The sequence below is a fragment of the Homo sapiens genome, chromosome 7 (assembly GCF_000001405.40).
Source record: "Homo sapiens chromosome 7, GRCh38.p14 Primary Assembly".
NCBI lineage: Eukaryota > Metazoa > Chordata > Mammalia > Primates > Hominidae > Homo > Homo sapiens.
The window spans coordinates 32,027,789-32,045,189 of NC_000007.14; the positions used below are offsets into that span (position 1 = coordinate 32,027,789).

Below are 17,401 nucleotides of genomic sequence, written 5' to 3' on the forward strand. Positions count from 1 at the left end.
GTGATTGCCATTTTCCTCAAATTCTTCATTTGATGTTTCCAAAGCAACAACAACAAAAAAATCTGATGTAGCAAGCCTTACACTGAAATCATATTAAATCTTCAAAAACCAATCAGAAAAAAAGCATAGGCAAGTCTTCTTGGGATTCAGACTTAATCACCTTTAGGTACTAAAGGTGGGATTAGAACTTAAGTATGTCTCTAATAAACAGGATGATGCAAAATCAATCCTGGCTCACTGCCAGTCTTCCTCCTGATTGACAGCTAGAGCAGGGCTGTCCAACAGCAAGACACCCTGAATTGCAGACATAATTTAAAATTTTCTAAGTAGTCATGTTTTATAAAATAAACAACTGAAATTAAGAGCATATTGTATTTAACTAATAGACTCAATTATTTATCATTTTAACATGTGACCATGGTAGCCACATTCCAAGGGCTCAAGAGCCACATGTGGCTAGTGGTTACCATATTGAACAGCAGATCTAGACTTCCAGTGTAAATCTAACAGGTCCCAAGCTTCTCCCTTTCAAATATGTATTTATTCATTCAAACACACAAAGTCTCTTCATATGCTTCATTATTCCTACTACTGGAGGTTCACCAGAGTCAGCAGTAACAGTGCTTGAGTCACACCTTCAATCTATGCAAACCATAAGAAAGATTAAGCTCTATGCCAATGTGAAAACCAGCTCAACTTCAGTTTCTTATTGTTATTATTATTATTACTAATTTATTTCCAGTATATATCCTTCCCATTTCTTTATCTTAATTTTTATTACATATTGACTATTTGTAATTATATATATTTATGGGGTACAAAGTGATGTTATAATTTATGAAAACAATGTGGAATAATTAAATCAAGCTAGTTAACATATCCATCACCTTAAATACTTAATTTTTTTTGTGGTAAGAACGTTAGAAATTTACCCTCTTAGCAATTTTGAAATGTACAATATTATTAACTATATTCACTACACTGTGCAATCGATTTCAAAAAAATTCCTCCTGTGTAACTGAGATTTTGTAACCTCTAACCATCAATTCCCCATTCCTTCCCTTCCCCCCAGCCTCTGTAGCCACCATTCTATTATCTGCTTCTATGAGCTTCGTTGTTTTAGATTCCACATCTAAGTGGAAACAATTAACAAGGTACGGAGACAATCTACAGACTTGGAGAAAACATTTGCAAGCCATACATCAGATAAGGTATTAATATCCAAAATATATAAGGAGCTCAAACAATTCAATAGCAAAAAAACAAAAAGCCTAATTTAAAAATGGGCAAGGGACCTAAATAGATATTTCTCCAATGAAGACATACAAGTGACCAACAAATACATGCAAAAACAAATTCACATTGTTAATTATTAGGGAAATGCAAAATAAAACCACAATGAGATATCATCTCAGATGGAGAAAAAAGGAAATCCTTATACATTGTTGGCAGGAATGTAAATTAGTACAGTACAGCCATTATGGAAAACTATACAGAGGTTCCTCAAAAAACTAAAAATACAACTACCATATGATCCAGCAATCCTACTTCCTAGTATTTATCCAAAGGATTTGAAATCATCTTGTCAAAGAAATACCTGCACTCCCATGTTCAATGCAGCTCTATTCACAATAGCCAAGTTACGGAATCAACCTTTTCACACTGTTTGGAAAAACAAAGAATTTCTCAACTAAAGTTTATCTTTGTGATAGAATAAATCAAGAAATAATAGGTGCAAAGCCATCTAGGGTCTGCAACAAGAGTGGAGGTAAGTGTAGTGAGGGGTGGGAGGAGAGGAAAGAAGGCAGAGAGGAAAGAAAGAAGGGAGGGGAAAATATCACAGCAGGTCATAGAAATTACCTCAAGGCATCGAGTTTAAGAGCAGGATTCCCACATTCAATGACTTTCACCCAAACAGGTAATGCAACCTAGGTTTAAAAAATTGTGTAAATGTTGTAAAAGGGATTTTCAAGGCAATGAACATTGATTACATGCACCAATACATCTGAAAGAGATAGAAAGCAGAGTTTAGCCAATACATTTGTGCATTTTAAAGACTGTCCCTTAATAAACACAATAATGAGCCTTCTTATATTGCTGCAACATTATTTATCACAGTAAAGAACTCGAAACAACTTAAGTGCCTATCATTAAGAGAACATCCCAATTAACCGTGATTTAGCCATACTGTAAACTTTTTAAAAAGAGGTACATTTCTATGAGCTGACATAGAAAAATATCCAAGCTACGGGTGAGTGAAAAAGCAAGTTGCTGAAAAATGCATATTATAACACACACACACACACACACACACACACACACACACACACACACACAAAGTGACAATAGCTATAATCTCTCAGGAGGAACCTGGGATAAGTTGGTTGTGGGGATAGAGGAGGAATCAAAGAAGACTGGACACTTTGGTCTTCTCAGTAGTATTTTTTTAATAAAGAAAATGTATTCAGATTTTACTTAGAGAAAAAGAATGATTTTAAAACAATAGTACACACCCTCAAATGTGTTTATCCCAAATCAAAATTTAATATATTGAAACCCACCAAACTCATGCTTATGCTTACCTAAGAATGGAGTTTCTCTCACCATGTCTATGAATATATTTGAACACGTGGATATATCCTTGAATACAGAGAAAGTGTTTTCTTGAATTGGTTATTTTTTAAAAAATTAGATCGCTGAAAATCTTCTCATGAAAAACTGAAGACATCAGTAGGCTTCTACGTACATGTTGATGGGGTTTCAGACACATTACCGCCAAAATAAGTTACCTGGGCATATTGAATATTTTAAGCTGAAGGAATTGAGAAACAGCATGTACAGGAAGGACTTTCTGATCTTCCCCTGAAGCAGGGCATAAAACTTAGGAAGGACTTTCTGGTCAACTTCATAATAAACCTATTTAGAAACTTATAATAAACCTGATTAAAAATTTATAAACTAAATGCAAACTGTGGTAGATGCTATTACTATCTGTGAATAAAGACCTCCTTCTCTCCTCAAGGAAGGACTATGCTCCTCCACTCCATTTTGGACTTCACCAGGAGATTTGCCTTGATATATACAACCACCAAGAAAAATATTTAAAGGTGACCAAGTGGTCTAAGTTTCTCTTGTCACTGTCCTCTGCAACAAGAGGCATATCCCATAGAGCCTTTGATCTATTTTACAACTACATGAATTGTGGATAACTGATAACAACATGAAACAATTCCTGTCCACTGACATGCAAATATTACTTTCTGTCTCGTGAAGATTCAGTGAGCTTCCCTTCTCCACTATGGAATGTGTTTTGTCCTTCATTTGCACATTCCAATCTATGAATGTGGCTATTCTTTGGATTGTCATTTGAACATCATTGGTAGTCATAACATCCTACCAGTTCCCTCATTAATAATGAGTTAAATAAAATCTCTAACACATGTTCATTTTATATCCAAAAGAGAGTATAATTTTACCTTTCTTTGAAAATTATCCTGGGTGCTTAAAATGTTAGATAATTTTACTATACACTGATTCCCCCTAACAACCCTATCTTTTACTAATGAGAAAAAGGAGCCCCAGAAAGATTAAGTAACTTGCTTAAAGCCACACACTGATTAGTAGCAGAGCTGGAATCTAAACTCCAGGTCTAGATGACACCTCTACACTGCTTCAAGGGCAACCCTTCAGAGAAAGGAGAGAATAGGGTGGAATCAGGGTATTGTGAAATCACAGAAGTGTTAACAGCCAGTTCCTTTTTTGATCATATGAGGGAATGAAGGCACAAAAGTATAAAGATCTTGGCCACGTTGCATAGCTTATTATAGGCAGGGATCAGAACCCAAGGTTCCTTACAACCAGCCTGATGATCTTGCGTTCAAGGAGGAAGTCAAATTAGACTAGGGCCTTGATGGATAAATAGAATCAACAGACTGGCAAGATGCAGGAAACAGAGGCTGGACACATGTGAATGTGAGGTATGGAAAGTAGGAGAGGCCCCTCTACCACAAGGGTTCTAGGAAATTTACACAGTGGGGAGCCTGGAAGTGGGAAGAGATGGGGCAAGGAGACTGTGTCCAGACGTTGTCAGAGGGGGCCACAGGTTTGTACCGCAGGAGAAGTACTGCTTGGGGGAGAAATTCCTGGAGGCTGTAAAATGAGTTATTTGCTTTCCCAGTAGTCAGAGACTAGATGCTTGGCCACCTGACTTTGTGCACAACCCTTTGCCATCTGAGCTTCTGCTTCACCTGAGGCTGAAAAAGATGACATCCAAGATTCCTTCTAGGGCCAAAAACTACAATAAAGTCAAAAGAGTAGACATACTTCCTCATAAGTTGATCATGGTGGCATACTCTGTTATAATCACATGTGTTCTAGAAACCCAGGATGCCACATGGGGCAGAAAAGCCAGAAAAGCCCACATGGGGTCCTGGAGAGAAGAGGCTGCCTCAAAGGTTATTTTGGAGGAGGAGGTGGAGACCTCATGTTCTAAAGAGGAAAACAAACCTACTTGCCCTTGCCTGACTGTCAGGCTGTGTCCCAGACCAGCAGGGACTTCACAGCAAGGCCAGGCTTCCTATTCTGTGAGTTCCTCACACCCGTAGAGTGTCCCCATCTCTCTGCCACTGGGGCATACCCTGCTCCTCACAACTCCGAGGCAAGAATCAAGTTCACAGGGCATCTGTTCACTGCTACGAGTGTGTGGAGACAGCCACTGACAGGAACACTGATTCCCAAAAGGCACATGTAAATACAAGATGAATGCAAAGAGAAAAGTGACTGGACTAGAGAGAAAATATCAGCTCTACCAAGAAGGAATCGTGATTCCTGCTTCTATTATTATAGATAAAAACCTACCATCTTATGGTCACATGCCGGGTCTTATGAAAATGAGGGCTGTGCACACAGACAGTGCCCTCTCCACACCTATGCACCAACCTGTGGAGCCTCCCTCCCCAAAGAATGGCCAAGAACCAGGGCATCAGTAACCGTTAGACATGCAGAATCTCAGGCCCCATCCCAGCTCTGCGGGATCAGAATCCACGTTTTAAAAACATCCCCAGATGATCACATTAAACTTTTTGAGAAGTGCTGTTTGTAAGGTTCCTGTGAGTAATGCAGCAGCAAAGCTCGGGTACACAAGGAAAGACTAACAAGTGAGCAGAGAGCTGGAGATGGGGAAAGACCAGACCATGAACTGGAGATCACAAGCTCTCTTACCAACACAATAATTCAGAAGGTGACTTCTCAAAACTAATCTTCAGCTGAGATCAGCTGACGGAGTAAGACCTTCCCAGGATGAAAGGAGGGCTGAATCCCCAGGCAGGGCAAGGCAGAAGGGAAGGGGCAGACTCTCTCTTGATGGCATCCTAGCAGAATCAATTGTTAGTTCCCAAAGCTGTCCTAGAGGCGTGATGCTCTGTGGTGCATTTGCTATCTCTTTGTGACTCATCCACAGATGAATGGGCTCAAAGAAAAGGGAGAAGCGAGCCATGAAATATAGTAAATTACAGCTTAATCTTCCTCACCCTGGAATTCATTCAGTAGTTTTAATGAACTTACAGTCTGGAAAGCATGTTGAAGAATGTATATGGAATATATTTCATGCCACTCTGAGCATCAAAGGAGCGCAATTCCCTTTGTTATTAAGGGGATAAATGTCCTTCCTTCAGTCAGTACCTTGGCAAAAAAACAAAAAACAAAAAAACCTGTTTTCCATTATTGCTGTTATCTACTGCAAAACTCTAAAGAATACAGATTTTCAAGAAGTGGTTCCCGAGCACAGTCAGCTTCCTGACCTTGTATCTTCACCCTGAACCACTGAGACAAATAGGGGACCCTGAACTGTCACCTTGAAACTCCACCAGGTTCTCTCTCTGTTGGCTACCTCCTTTGACTTGACCCACAGACCCAAGAGAGAAATTGTCATGGCTTGCTTCTAATTCAGGTTGGAGGAAAACCCAAAGACCCCTGGAAGGATATTGAGTTATCTCCAGAAAACAAAAACAGTACCCTGATTTATTAACGTACTTATATGCATTAATATATGTCCAGATTAGACCTGGACATTTAAATTCATCCCCAAAAGGATATAGCTTATGCTCTGATACTCTACTCCCACCAACCATTATCAGTAATTTTCAAATTATGGACTGCTCTCTATCAGTAGATAATAAAATCAGCTTACTGGGTTATAGCCAACAATTTTATGTTAATAAAATAGAATAGGAAAATTAGACTTAATCAGTGGTAGTAAGATGAGAGACTGTGTGTGTGTGTGTGTGTGTGTGTGTGTGTTTGCACGCATAATGTAAAGTGTATTTTTTTACTGTGTGTCACAGTCAAACCAGCATACAGCACCTGGATATCAACCCCTTACTGGAAAGAGCAGAGAGACAACATGAGCAAAGAACTGGAAAAACAGGTTTCCTTCATGAACTTCTAAAAGCAAAATGAGGAAGAAATTAAGCCCTCTTGTGGCCCAACAGATGGGCTGGAGCTTCTGGTTACCCTCTCCCCTACTCACATCCCCCACTCCCCCTACCCATTATGGCTCAATCAGAAGCCACATCCCATAAATCTCACAAGAATGAAGAAAAGCTGATTTGTGCTGCACAGATTTGTGCCTCGGACAAAGATGCCAATCTGGTGGATGGATTCCCCTTAGCAGTGAAAAAAGAGGCTGAGCGATTTGGAGATCCTATTCCTTGGCACAGTTTTCACTGAGGTCCCCATTCTCTACAAAAATTATTTTCCTTTTCTCCCCAAGGTGTGTTCATGGTAGCTCCCAGTCATGCTTGGCTTCAAATGCACAAAAAATCTAAACAGGAATTAACCAAACCTCCAAACAGTACTGATGTGAACTTTAATGTAAACACTAAGTCATAATCCCACCTTTGTCACTATATCCCAATACCTCCAAAGTTAAATACAGAGGCAAGGTAGCATAAGAGTTAAGAGATTGGGGCCAAAAGTCAAATTGACCTCAATTGAACCAAGCCCCATCATTTCCTGACCTTGGAAAGTTACTTATGATTATCTAAGACTCAGTTTTCTCACCCATAAAATGGAGGCAATAATATTATAGCACCTATCCCAGAGGAGTTAATAAAAATTAAATAAGTGTGTAAAGCATTTATCTCAGTGCCAAGGACATGATTATCATGCATCTTCAAGTAATATTATGGCTATTTTTATTATTACAATCATACTCTATTATTTAAAGGCAAAGTTTAGTTTCTCCTCAGCCTAGTGACAGAGCAGGAGCATTGCCCTCTTGGAAAAGCACCAACATTTTAAAGTTCCCCTTGATCAAAAGCCACCGAAATCCAACCCAAAGGACATCAGCCTAATGGCTAATGTCAGCATGACCATAAACTACAAATGACATCTCCAACCAGAAGCATTCCAACCCTAAGACAAACGCCTCCACAACCAGAGACATGCCTGCCCCAAGATAAACTCCCCTACAACCAGAGACATTCCAACCCCACAATAAACTTCTCCTCCACACAGAAACATTCCGAGCCTGTGATAAACTCTCTCACTCTGAACCCCTAAATACTCTTAGTCTGTAAGAGAGAGTGCTCCTGACCAAATTGGCCAGAAGCCCCTCTCAGGTTTATTCTCCAAAATAAACCTGTCTTTGACTATTGAGCTGCTTTTCACGTTTCTTTCCTCTTTCTTTAACTCTTACACCTAGCTTGTTTGTTTGGTTGTTGTTTGTTTTGCAATCAATACCAATGGTATAAATTTAAAAGGAAGAGAATAAAGAAATTATATTTTCTGATCAACGTTTGTTGTAAATGATTTATACAGTGATGGGTCCCAAACTAAATTTCCCAGGGAATTCCCTATTTCCTTGCGGGGGTAAAGAGCATCCGAATTATTTGCTCATTAAATGAGTTGCCAAAAGCCAGAAAATCTATGCATCTGAGAGTTTTCATCTCAAGAGACCCAGGAGCTCGAAATCCTAGCAGTATGAATCATCTCTGTCCAAGTGTATAGAGTCTATTAGCAGAGGGCAGCTCTTGCTTCTGATGGCAATGGATGCCAGCTGCTGCTGAGAAAACAGGAAAGGTAATCCCATGTTTCAGCTTTAACGTGCCTGGTCAATTGTGAAAACTGACTTGAAGGGAGAGAAATTTCATCTTGACCCCCTTGGATAATGAACAAGAAGGACAGCCTGGCCTGTGAAGGAAACACCAGAGTGGGGCAAGCTCAGAGAAAATTCAGCCAACATAGCAGTGGAATCATGCTCTTTAAGTGTCAGGCCAGCCTCACAGGTACCACACTTTTTCTAAACACAGGTTTCTCCATTCACAAATTGTTTACTTCAGAAATGACTTTTTCTCCTATAAATGGAATTCCTTTGTCTGAGAACCACATACGCAAGAAACAAGGATGAAGGAAGAGCCATCTAAACTACCAGGTCAGCTACATTCATTCATTCATTCACCTGCCCCAGCATATCCATCCTACGGGTTTACTAGGTAACAATAGGGGTATGGATGAGGCAACAGGGATGTACAGAGAAAGAAAGTGCTTAGAGTGAGTTGTATAGCTTAAATGCTCATATTAGAAAAGATGGAAGGTTTAAAATCAATGCCCTACGTTTCACCTTAAGAAGTTAGAAAATGAAGAGCAAATTAAACCCAAAGTAAGTAGAAGAAAGGAAATAATAAACAAAAAGCAGAGCACAATAAAACATAACACAATCAACAGAAAAAGTTAACAAGGACAGAAGATTTTTAAAAACATTAATAAAAGTAATAAACAAGTAGCAAGCTTGATCAAGAAATAAGAGAAGGCACAAATTACTAATGTCCCGAATGAAAAAGAGATATTGCAGATCTTACAGATATTAAAAAGATGGCAAGCAACATTATGTCAATGAGTTTCACTACTTAGATGAAATGAACAAATTCCTTGAAAAACCACAACTTAACCAAGAATGACTCAACAAGAAATAGAAACTCTGAATATCCCTATACCTATTAAGGCAGAGGTTATCCACATGTAGCTCCAGCAGAAAGGCAGCATCAGCAACACCTGCAAACTTTTTGAAATGTAAATCCACAGCTCTCACTCGGACCTACCAAATCAGAACTTTAGAGTGGGTGGGGTGGGGGTCACAGCAATTTGTGTTTTAACAGACCTTGCTGGTAATTCTGATACCATTTGAGAACTGTTTCAATACTATCTTCCTACAAAGACAGACAGATCTAGATGGTTTCACTGATGCATTCTATCAATTACGTAAGAAAGAAATCATACCAGCCTTACAAAAGCTGAGAAAATTTAAAAAGGGGGGATCACATCTCATCATTTACTGTCAATCTCTACTCTTTTATGGAAGTTGTAGGAGTCTTTATTTTCCCTGATTCTTATTTTAAAGTGATTCCTGGTTTCTTTGAAATGGGCCATTCTGACAGACAAGTGGTCCACATAGCCCAAATGGCCACACTGCATGTTCTCAAGTAGAGAAAGGTCTTTATTAGGTGTTTTCTGTCTTTTGCTTGCAGCCCTTAGGGGAGTGATAATCTAGTTCACGATAAGGTAATTAAGGCAGGGAGTTGCCCCTCACCCACAAGGATACCCACAGCATAGCAATCCTTCCCTTCTCTTGCATACAAACCTCACTCAAGCCAGAGCAGGGACTGGGACTCAGATAACAAAAGCGGTGATAAAAATGAACTATCTGCTCATAGTATTCCTTCTAAATAAAACACCCATACCACCTTTCCACATCTGGCTGTTTTTCTTACTCATCCTTAAGCCTCAGGTGTCATCTACAGAAAGACTTTTCTGAACCCCCAAACTAAGCAGATGTAACTAAATCTTTACATCTTTATCCAAGAACTTAATATTGAAATTCTCTATGACTTTGTACCTTTGTCAAATAACTTATATTGAAATTACCTGTCTGGGTCCTATATCTCTCCAATTATGTCATTAGCTCCTTGAGGGCAGAAACCACATTTCATTTTTTGTTTTGGTTTTGGTTTAATGTCTCACAGTGCTTGACTACTAATTGCATAGTTCCACTCAGTAAACCTGTAGTGAAATGAAGAGTCTGAGAGTGGAGTCAGGTCAAAATTTACCTCCATAAATAAAATACACTCAACTCAAAACATTCAGTATGACTTATTTTTAAAATAAGTACTTTCAATTTGTTCAATCTCTCAGTAGTATTATTAATGCAAACCACATGGACTGACTTTCATTTTGCAAATCTCACCTACCCTTTTTAAATATATGGTGGAAACATAAGGTCCCTGCCCACAGATCTATGCATTGCAGAGCCTACTAGAAGATAAATACAGGGATCAAAAGAATAACAGTAGTAGGTGACACCTAGAATCTTAGGATAAAAGGGTTGGATTTCTTCTTTTAGCCTCTTTATGCAGACCTGCAAGTTTTGCCTTCACAGCCTTGAGGATCATCCTGAAGCATGAGACACAGATTCTCCCACCTCCGCCTATTGCAGACCCCATTCCAACAAATCCTCCAATAAATGAGATCCTGAAGAATTAATCTCCCGCACAAGCAGAATAAGTGCCTGAGGGAGGCCAAGTTTTGCAGAGAGTTAATTATGATGAAGGAAGACATTCTGTGGCCATTAATTTTTATTGGGAGGGCAGGCATTATATTAACAGCTAGTATATATATCTAGAATTGGGCCATATAGCATACACGCATTGTCTCATTTACTTATCACAACCCTTTGAATTAGGTACCATTAGTAAGCCCCACCCTGAGAATAAGCTTAACTGGCCGAAAAATCACAAAGTTTAAGTGGTGGAAAATGGATTTAAATTTACATCTCTCAGACCCCAAAATCCATGCTCTGAATGCTAGTGATATATTGCCTTTTTACAGTCTTCTGGTATAATTATGCTCCTACAATGTTCCACCCAAGCCAGTGGCAAAAGTAAGTCACTGATATCAAAGAGGGGGGATCATCTACCCTATGAATCTGAAGACAAAAAGCACCCTTTAAACATGATTCATCTTCGACACAAGAGACTAATTTAAGAAACATTTCTTTCTATTCAAAATAATGATGCTAAATGGGAAGCGATTTAAGCTTTACAATGGCTTCATCAGAATCTCATCTGTCAGATCTCAAAATCATGCTCCCAGAACATGTTTCTCAATAGAATGAATCAGCAGGAAAGAAAAGCAGATGTAAAGCAAACAGGTGAAAGTATGAAGTTAGCAATAACTGTGCTCATGGGCCACCACCACCATCAGCACCACCATCATCATCCTCATCACCAGTATTATATTGTTATTATTAAGTACCTTCATTCCCAAATAGTAGCATTATGTCCTCTGAAGGAATGGGGCTTCTGTTTACCCAGCAAACAGGCACTGTTTGCATTACCTTAAGGGTTAACCTACTTTCTTGATAATGGGTCATGAGTGAGTAGGGGTGATCAGTAAAGATAGTACTATTACAAACAACAGAGCACACTTGTAGTTACTAAAATTATCCAAAAAATCATGGCAAAATTATCAAAGATGTAGGATTATGAATTTGGTATGACAGCAGAAGGATGATTGCACATCTCACAGTCCATATTGCTCACATCGGGTTCTCACATGCTTTAATTGCAGTGCTAATTCTGAGAATTCTTGATTATGATCTAATGGTGGAACACATCTGAAAGATTAAAGAACTGATTGTAGAAAAGTCAACACAAAGTCCTCCATTTATGTACATACCAGAGTGCAGGACAACGGGGACGACCCTGTCCCCTGGTGGCAGAGCTCCGCGATTCAGAACCTCGCAGCAGGAAGGAACTTGCCTGTGACTCCACATTCAGCCATGCTTTCAGAAGCACTGGACTTTTATCAATTTCTAGGGATATTTGTGTTGTCAGGGTATACTAAGTAGGAATCTATTCCCATTTATATTGTGATTTGCTTTGTACCTACTAATTTTCACTGAAATCACTATTATAATTTACTGTCTCTACCCCCACAAGTAAGGGATGGAACTTCATTTCCCAGTAAATATATTTTGTTTTATTGCCTCCTAGGTAACAATGTGCAACAATACCAAAGTGTTTCATTTAAGACCTGTGATTTTGTGCTTTTCAGGACTAGTAAAATACAATAGCATGTGGAACTTATGATTTCTAATTTGTTTCAGAACGTAGTATACTGTGTTTATATAAGCCACACAATATTAACCCTTCAAGACAACTTTAAAATCTCTTTCAAAGCATGATTAAAAGTACGTCTAAAAATTTTCCTTGTGAAATGTAAATGTATCTAATACACCTATAAAATCTTGTCAGCTACATTTATGAAACATAAGTCATAAATTTACTACATAAACAACAATAAGTCAAAATAGTAACATTGATAACAATTGCTAAAATGTTCTTTACACTTACTAAAAGCCAGGATATACACTTAACACTTTTAATCTTTATCTCTTTTAACCCTTACAACAAACCCACAAGGTAAGTATGTTATTCTCTTTTTAAAGAAGAAGGTACAGCTTAGAACTATGTACCTCAACATTGGCACTCTAACATTTTGGATAATCCTTTGTTGTGGTGGAAATGTTCCATGTACTATAGGCTATTTAGCAGTATCCATGGTCTCTATTCACTTGATACCAGTAATATACCCCATATCCAGAAGTGACAACCAAAAACTGTCTGTAGACATTGCCAAATACCCTCGTAGGGCCAAATCAGCCAAATCACCCCCAGTCGAGAACCACTGGCTTAGAGAAATAAAGTAACTTACTAAAGGTCATATGCTTAGAATATAATTGAACAGAAGCCAGGCATTCTGACACAAGAATGTATACTCTCAATCAATGAAATACAGTGTTGTTTACTCTGTGATAGTTTAAAGAACATAAATTTTCCTCAAAATAGAAAACTAAAAATGAAGACAAACTGTAAATGCCTTCCCGTAGAAAGATATTCTATGGCCACAAGAGACTGTGCCCTTCCAAAATTTTCCTTTCCTAATTAAGGTCCATGTCCCAATGCCTATTGCCCTTACGTAGCTTGATCTCCTGCCCCACCTACCCCAATCTTCTTTAAGTCCTATTCCATGTGCCCCAAAAGACAGTCACCAATCCCTTGTTAAGGCTGATTCCATGCTTTAGTAAATAAGATCCAGACTCTGCCTCACAGAGCCCCTGAAGAACAAGACCTGTCTGCTTCCTACCTGTTCCCTTAGATGACCCAAGACTTCCACCTGTATCATCTCAAAGTGTAAGCCTTCTGCATAGTGGTCACTGAATTCCGGTACTGAAGTCCCAAGACTTCAGTGACTAAGGACTTTCCACACACCAAAGTCTTCCTATGTGCCTCACATAGACTATTTCATTCCAGGCTCACAAGAACCCTAGGAAGCAAATACTATTTCCATTTACCAAAAGAAACAGATTCCAGTAGGCAGGGGAAACCCACACAAGCATTTCACCAGGTTCACGACAGGACTCAGATTTTAACCCAAGTATGGACAACTCCAAACCCCTGCTCTGTATTCCAACCCTATACTCTTCCAATTTCATGGCAGGGCAAAGACTACAGACACACCCTTCCAAAGCATGTTCTCATCTTGCCATACTCCCTCCAGCTTGCTTAGAAGTTCATCATTCCAGCCCCCTCTCCTCGACATCCCAAATTTATGAGAATAAACAAAGCAGAGCTGAGTGTGACTTCACTTGTGGAATAGAAAAGGGAAAAATTCAGGCAGTGACCTCACGAACTTTGAAAAGGCAGTATCGTATTAAATCAGAGGATAGAAAAATACAGAACATGTTTTCTCTTATCCGATTCTATTTTTGTTATTTACTTTTTTTATGCATAAAGAGTTATGTATTCATGTATGACTGATCACATCGCTTCAAAGCACTTTAGCTGTTAAGTACGAAAATAGACAATTTTGAAAAAAGAACCTGGTGGTGGAGGTGAGGATTTTTCCCTTTCAATCACATTACTTAAATATAGCTTGTTGTTTTTTTGTTAAGTCTTCATTAAACTTTCCTGAGAGCTTCAACTTTTAGGTTAAGGCCAAATACGAAAACTTTCAAACATAAAATGTCTGAAGAGAAAAGAACAATTGGCAGAGTAGAGAAATGAACTACCAAAGGCAGATCTTTTTGACGTTGATTTATTCAGCTTTAAGCTGCTTCATTTGGGGAAGAAAAAAAAAGGAGGGGCTCCACAGCTGTAAAAATCTATAAAGCCAGGCTGAGCACAGTGGCTCATGCCTATGATCCCAGCACTTTGAAAGGCCAAGGCGGGTGGATCACTTGAGGTCAGGAGTTTGAGACCAGCCTGGCCAACATAGTAAAACCCCGTCTCTATTAAAAATACAAGAAGTAGCTGGGCATGATGGCATGCACCTGTAATCTCAGCTACTCAGGAAGCTGAGACAGGAGAATCGCTTGAACTGGGGAGGCAGAGGTTGCAGTGAGCTGAGATCTTGCCTCTGCACTCCAGCCTGGGCAATGGAGAAAGACTCCATTAAAAACAAAAACAAAAACAGAAAACAGACAAAAAAAACTATAAAGCCAAAGGGATAGAAAGAACTCAAGAAACTTTCAGTGTCTGAAAGGCCTGCCTTTAAACCCTGGCCCGACCATTTGTCTGCTCATTTGAGTTACCTCAGATGAGTTACCTCTTTTCCATGACTTCCTTTTCTGTAAAACAGGATCATTGTGAAGATCAAATGAGAAAATGCATGTAAAGCACCTGGCACACTGTAGACACACAATAGATTTCAATCAGTAGGGGGCCCTCTGGACATACCTATGTGCTTGCCAAAGTTTGTGCTTTAGCAATACTTTTAATGTCCCATGATTACTTCTCATTAATTAAGTGAATTTAGAAGTATTGTAAACCAAGGATAATCTGGCTAGGGGCTAAAGGACAATATATATGGGGTACAGACTATGTCACCTGCCCAGTGATCTCTGTGCTAACTGGCAGCTTTGTTCTTTTCTGGTGATTCAGTTAAACAGCAGAGAGTGCCCACCATCACTGCAGATGTTGTTCAGTGACCTAGACTTCCTCCTGGAAGGACCTCAGTAACTGGAACCAGAGAATACTGTTTTTGAGCCAAAGACCACATTCGTTCTCAGATTGAATCTCATCTCTTTACAGACAAGGACACTGAACCAGAGAGGAGCAATTCGGCACAGCTAAATGTGACAGAACACAAACACGATTCTTAATCTTACCTCTTTACCAGTGGTTCTCAACTAGAGGTGATTTTGACATACACGGGACATTTTTGGTTGCCACAGCTAGGGGAAGATGAGATGTTACTGGCATCTAGTGGGCAGAGGCCAGGGATACTGCCAAACATCCTACAATGCACAGGACAGCCCCTACAGCAAAAGCATCAATAGTGCCATGGTTAAGAAATGCTCACCTACTCCATTGGACCAGTGTCTCCAGGGAGTCTGAAATCTGCCTTTAAAGCTGCTGCTGCTGGAAGTTGAACTTGGCCCCAGCATGGCGGCCCTCACTAATGACTGATTCAACCCTGTCAATTGTGCCTCTTAGCATTGAAAGCCACCAGGTTTGGGAAGGATTTAGAGATTTGCCTCCTCAGGTAACTTAAAGTCTGGACATAACTTTTGAAGCACCCTGATATGCCTGGGCATAAGTGCTATTGACAGTCCTGAAAATGCACTTCGGTCTTATTAGGCAATCTAAGAAACTTACTCTCAAAACCATTTTGGCAAAACACCGCCAAACAGCCAAATGATGCACAACCACACAGATACCTGAATATCAAATATTCAGAATGATCCACCCTGAGCAAATACATCTGATACTGTACTAAGCACCTCCAGGATTAATGGCTTGAGTAGAGGAAACACAGAGATTGAAGCACTGATTAAAGCTAAAATACTCTCAGTGTTTCCACCCAAAGCTTGAGTTCCATGTTGCAGGGACTAAAAAAAGAAAAGAAAGGCAGAGTCAATGATTTAAGCAATTATGTACTTACTGATTCTTGCCATGCATGCCATCTGTCTTGCTGACCTCACAGGCCTCTACACCGGCCAGTGTGAGGGTCAAATGAGAGTCTACGTGTGGGAGTATGCAGTGAACTGCAAAGCCATTTGAAAGTATGAGTCACAATCCAAACTTATTTACCCAGAGTTCCACCTAGTAACTATGACGTTAGTTCTGACCCATGATAGAAATATATGAAGGATCCCAATCTGATTTATTCATAAAATCAATGCACATTTAATAAAGATCTGTCATGCCCAATGCTTTTGGGGAGCATATTCCCCACTTAAAAAAATCAGTGATGCCACAAGGAATGACATGCACCCCACTAACTCTTATACAGAATTAGAGAAGCAGGAACTCTTTTAGGTGGAAATACCTAAGAAGTTTCCATTGAAAGGGATGGTCTTTGAATTGGATCTTGAAGAAAAGATGGGATTTCAACAGATAAAAATGAGAACATTTAGAGTACTGGAAAGAATATGAAAGAAGAAAGGATCATAAAAAAATCAGGCAAATATGACAGTCAGTAAGGAGTTCAGCTTGACTGGAACTTAGGGTGAATGGAACAAGGTAACAGACAAAGCAGCAAAGTTTAGGTGGAAGCAAGTGTAGGCAGCCTTAAAATCCAAGACAAGAAGATAGGCATTTAATGGCCAACAGGAAGCCAATGGAGATTTGTTGCTATTTTTCAAACATAGAAGGCACAATCAGAGGAGCTGTGGAGAAAGTAATCAGACATAGGTATGCAGCATGGAGAAGATGAAGAAACCAGAGTAATGAAAGAGATTAAAGAGGCCACCCAATACTCTAAGAGACAGGTGATGAGACTGGACCAAGATCATGGGAGGGAAAGTAATGTGAAGGAAAAGCCCACAATCCGTTAGGGACCCATTGATCATGGGCAAAGAGGAAGAATAAAAAGTTAAAGTTGAAGGAACACCCAACAGAAGATCATACAAAGGGGCTCAGAAGTTTTGATCCTGGATAAATGGAAGAATGGTAGTAATTATCAGACATAAGGAAGATGGAAGAGAAAAGACGAATGAATTGTGCCTAGATGATCCTCTTGACTCAGAAAATGACAGCTCAATGCCAAGGTCACTCCTGCTACTGGTGTCTAGATACACTACCCAGACGAAGTGCCTGAGCTATTATACTTACTACATCTCAGCACCCTCTCATCCCATGCCTAGTTCCCAGGTGAAAGCCTCTAAATAGCCTTTCTGGGCCTAGATCCCTACACCTGTGCCCTGCCCCCCTCCCACCCCCTCCCTTCCCCCCACCGACTCCTGCTGATACATTAGCAAGGGTAAGTGAGTGAATGACTAAGTAGTGAATGAGTGATGGCTGCCTGTACTCTGAACTCTGATCAAAACTATATAGACTCTCCA

General features: G+C 39.6%; 1 protein-coding gene across 26 annotated transcripts in view; it reads right to left on the reverse strand.

The window, feature by feature from the left end:
• The window catches only part of PDE1C (phosphodiesterase 1C), an 811,448-nt gene that overhangs the window by 411,012 nt on the left and 383,035 nt on the right, over positions 1–17,401 (reverse strand). The window contains exon 1 of one of the 26 annotated variants that reach the window (XM_047420446.1): positions 1,861–16,088. The gene's annotated coding sequence lies outside the window, so the exon portion shown is untranslated. 26 annotated transcript variants of the gene reach the window in all.